Source organism: Homo sapiens, chromosome 2 (genome assembly GCF_000001405.40).
Source record: "Homo sapiens chromosome 2, GRCh38.p14 Primary Assembly".
Lineage (NCBI taxonomy): Eukaryota > Metazoa > Chordata > Mammalia > Primates > Hominidae > Homo > Homo sapiens.
In genome coordinates this window covers 5183136-5187453 of record NC_000002.12, presented here as the reverse complement: position 1 = coordinate 5187453, position 4318 = coordinate 5183136, and the positions used below count along the sequence as shown (strand labels likewise).

At 34.0% G+C, this 4318-nt stretch overlaps 1 annotated feature.

Moving 5' to 3' along the window:
• Positions 3340-3952: an enhancer, noted in NCBI's record as "H3K27ac hESC enhancer chr2:5323635-5324247 (GRCh37/hg19 assembly coordinates)". NCBI's record gives its function as "activates a minimal SCP1, AML or CMV promoter by ChIP-STARR-seq in naive H9 embryonic stem cells {active_cell/tissue: H9 hESC(naive)}" and the evidence as "EXISTENCE:reporter gene assay evidence [ECO:0000049][PMID:30033119]".

The window sequence follows — 4318 nt, the reverse complement described above, 5'->3', positions numbered from 1 at the left end:
GTCATTGGTTTTTATTACAGCCTTGCTAGATCATGTGAAGTGGTATGTCATTGTGCTCTTGATTTGCATTTCTCTGATGACTGAAGATGTGGACCATCTTTTCATATGCTTATTAGCCAGTTCATGTTTTTGGTGAAGTGCCTATCAAAAGTCTGGCTCATTTTTAAATTAGGTTCATTATTGAGTTATATATGGTCTTTATATGTCCTGAATGCAATTCAATTATCAGATATATGATTTGTAAATATTTTCACCCATTCTGTGAGGATGTCTTTAATTTCTTGATAGTGTCCTTTAAACATAAACATCTTTAGTTTATATAAAGTCCAATTCATCAATTTTTTCTTTTGTTGTTAGTACTTTTGGTGTCAAATGTAATAATTGCTGAATCTGAGATTATGAAGACTAATGTCTATGTTTTCTAATAGTTTGATAGCTCAATAATTATTAAATTATTAATAATAATTAATGATGTAATTACTAATAAAGCTTCTGTTTGCAGTATTCGCTACATGTCAACTGGATCAAGTTCATAAATCATATCATTTACATTTTCTATATTCTTAAGGATTATTTAGAATACTTGTTAAATTAGCTCCTAAGACAGTGTGATATACTCTTTGACTTGTGAATACTTTTACATCACTTTTAGTTATTTAAATTTTGCTTTATATATTTTGAAGCTATATTATTAGTTACCTATAAATTCAGATTTATTATATATTTCTTATAGAATATATTTTCATCATTATGAATTGCTTCTTCCCTTAAAGTCTACACATCTATTACTTTAATTATATCTTCTTTTAATGATTAATATCGCGTATAACTTTTTGATCTTCTTATCTGCAATCTTTTGAGGTCATTATGTCAATTTTTGTTCTAAAAGCAGTATAAAGTTTTTACTTTAATACAGCCTATCAGTCATTGACTTTTTAAAGTATTTAATACATTTACAGTTAATATAATTGCTGGTATATTCGAATTACCCCTAATTCTATCATGTGTTTTTATACCTTTATTAAGGAACATACTTCAAAGGGAAAATCTCCTTGTAGTGTTTATATTAGCATGGGTTTATTGGCAATGAAATCTTTCACTTTCCTTTTTCTGGAAATGTTTTTGTCTTCATTTTTGAAGAATATTTTCACCAGGTGTAGAATTCCAGATCATCAGTTGTTTGCTTTCAGAACTTTACGTTTGCCATTTGTTTGTCATTATGCTTTCTTCATTCTGTGGAGAGTTAACCATAGGACATGTTGTTTCTTTGCAGGCAAAGACTTTGTAAATATTGTTTCCACCTCATTCTTGTTATACTCTAACATTCCAATATTACAAAACATTAGACTTTTTCACAAAGTCTTATATATCTTTAGTTGTTTTTTCCCCCTGTATTTCTTCCTCCCCCTTTTTATTGTCTCTCTATACTTGATTTTGACATTTTCTACTAACTCTCTTCAGGATAGTCAAACATGCTAATAGCCCCATATGCATGGTTTTACTTTCAATTTATGATATGCTTTTGTTTTCGAATACACATTTGTTTCTCTTTAATAATCCCAGAGGTCTAATGGAATTCTTCATGGTTTCCTGAAACATTTTGATCATGACTACTTTTAAATCTCTGATAACACTAATAACTGGATCACTGATAGCTTTACTATTGCTCTTGTCTCTCAGGGAATCACATAATTTTTGACAGAATCTTTCATCTTTTCTATTAAAAACTATAGAAGTCCAGATAGTTTTTTCCAGAAAGCGTTTTGCTAACTTTATGCCCGACAAATTAAGTGCAGATCATCTTGATTCTGTCAGGGATTAAGTTGCCTAGAGGTTGGGTTTTTGTGTAGCGCTTGGTCTACTTAACCATTCACCCTTAGTTCTAGAGTCCATTCTTTGGGGAGTTTCAACTAAACCCTCCAGTGTTCATCAGGGCCACTCCAGGCTGATAAGATCTGAGTCAAATTTTTATTTCCAGCATCATGAAATTCCCGATATCTCTGCTTGGATTGTCAGCCTCTAATTGGTCATTTGCTTGTAATATAATCTACCCCTTGGACTACTCTGAAGTGTCATATGTCGTGAGTGGCAAAACAAGTCATACAGAAGTACTAGGTTTATTTCACCATATTTCCCTTTTCTTTTGTCTCTTGGCTCAAGTCCTGACTGCCTTTGTAGTTATTTGATGATTTCTGTGCATTTTGTGAAGGATTTTTTTATTTTCCTGGAACAACTTTAATCTGTTACAGATTATTTCTCATTGCTTAAAATTAAATTCTCTATTTTGTTATTTATGTTAATTACGATTACAGATGCTTTTGGAGTTTTTTGTATCATATTAATTTCTGTTTGTCTCCATTTTTAATTTTCACATTTCTTTTGCTTGCATTTAGATTTAGTGTTTTTAAAAATATTACATTTTACCTTTTTATTGTTTGGAAGTTTTAATATTTGATCATTATTCCTTCAGCTTTTACCTTAAAAATGTATAGATATTTACATTCGTGAAACATAAAATTAATACATACCTTCTTCTGTGTATTTTAAGATTAAAAATATTATCATATTCCTTTGGACTTATAAACAATTGTTGTCCAGTACTTCAGTATAAATATATATTTAAATCTATAAGTTAAGTATTATTATTATAAATTGTTGTTTAAATAATAAAGGATAATGTCTTAGAGTCCCCTTTTAAATAATTCATTTTTTCATTTTTTTCTGACATTTCTTTTAAAACATTTTTTGAGTAAGGGTCCATTAAAAAAACTTTCTGCTTATCTGAATTTGTCTTTAGTGCTACTTATAAAAAGATTTTTATGGTGTACAAATTCTTGGGTCATAACGTTCACTGAAAGTTTTATTTGTGAAATTGTTTTCGGCTGTCATTGTTGATCTTGAAAACCAGGTTGTTATTATACAGGTTAGCTGTTTCAAAAAAAATAGTTTCCTTGTTTTTGTTTGGTTTATATACTTTTTGAATAACATTTTATTTATCATGTTTAAGACTTTCAATTCTTAGATTTTTAAAATTAATTCTGAATAATATTCTTCCATATGTCTTTACATATTGCCTCGTTTTCATTCTCTTGTCTTCCCTCCTGGAATTTGAATTATGTTATACCTTTTCTTATTCTCTATGTCTATTATATTTTATATTATTAATTTCCTTTCTACTATGTAATTAGAGATACTGCATTCATCCTGTTCTCATGCTGCTAATAAAGACATACCCAAGACCAGGTAATTTATAAAGGAAAGAAGTTTAATTGACTCACAGTTCAGCATGGTTGGGGAGGCCTCAGGAAACTTACAATCATGGTGGACGGGGAAGCAAACATATCGTTCATCACATGGCAGCAGCAAGGAGAAATACTGGGCAAAGAGGGGAAAACCCCTTATAAAACCATCAGATCTTGTGAGAACTCACTCACTATCATGAGAATAACAGCATGGGGGTAACCATCCCCGTGATTCAATTACCTCCCACTGGATCCCTCCGACAAGTGGGGATTATGAAAAGTATAATTCAAGATGAGATTTGGTTGGGGCCACAGCCAAACCATATCATTCTGCTCTCAGCAGAGTTTAACATCATTAAACGTTAAAGTTCCAAAATGATCTTCTTTGACTTCATGTCTCACATCCAGGTCATGTTGTTGCAAAAGGTGAGCTCCCATGGCCTGAAGCAGCTCTACCCCTGTGGCTTTGCAGGGTACAGCCCACTCCAAGCTGCCTTCCTGGCTGGCGTTGAGTGTCTGAATCTTTTCCAGGTGCACAGTGCGAGCTGTTGGTGGAACTACTATTCTGGGGTCTAGAGGACGATGGCCCTTTTCTCACAGATGCACTAGGCGGTGCTGCAGTGGGAACTCTGTATGGAAGCTCCAACCCTACACTTCCCTTCTGCACTGCTGCAGCAGAGGTTCTCCATGAGGGCCCTGCCTCTGCAGCAAACTTCTGCCTATACATCCAGGCATCTCCATACATTCTCTGAAATTTAGGCAGAGTTTCCCAAACCTCAATTCTTGACTTCTGTAAACCGGAAGACTCATCACCACATGGAAGCTGTCAAGGCTTGGGGCTTGCACCCTCGGAAGCAATGGTCTGAGCTGTATGTTAGACCCTTTTAGCCACAGCTGGAGGGGCTAGCCTACAGGGCACCAAGTTCCAAGGCTGCACAAAACAAAAGGGTGCCTTGAGCCTGGCAACCGTTTTTCCGTCCTAGGTCTCCATGCCTGTGATAGGAGGGGCTGCTGTGAATTTCTCTGACGTGCCTTGGAGACATTTTTCCCATTGTCTTGATGATTAACACTTGGCT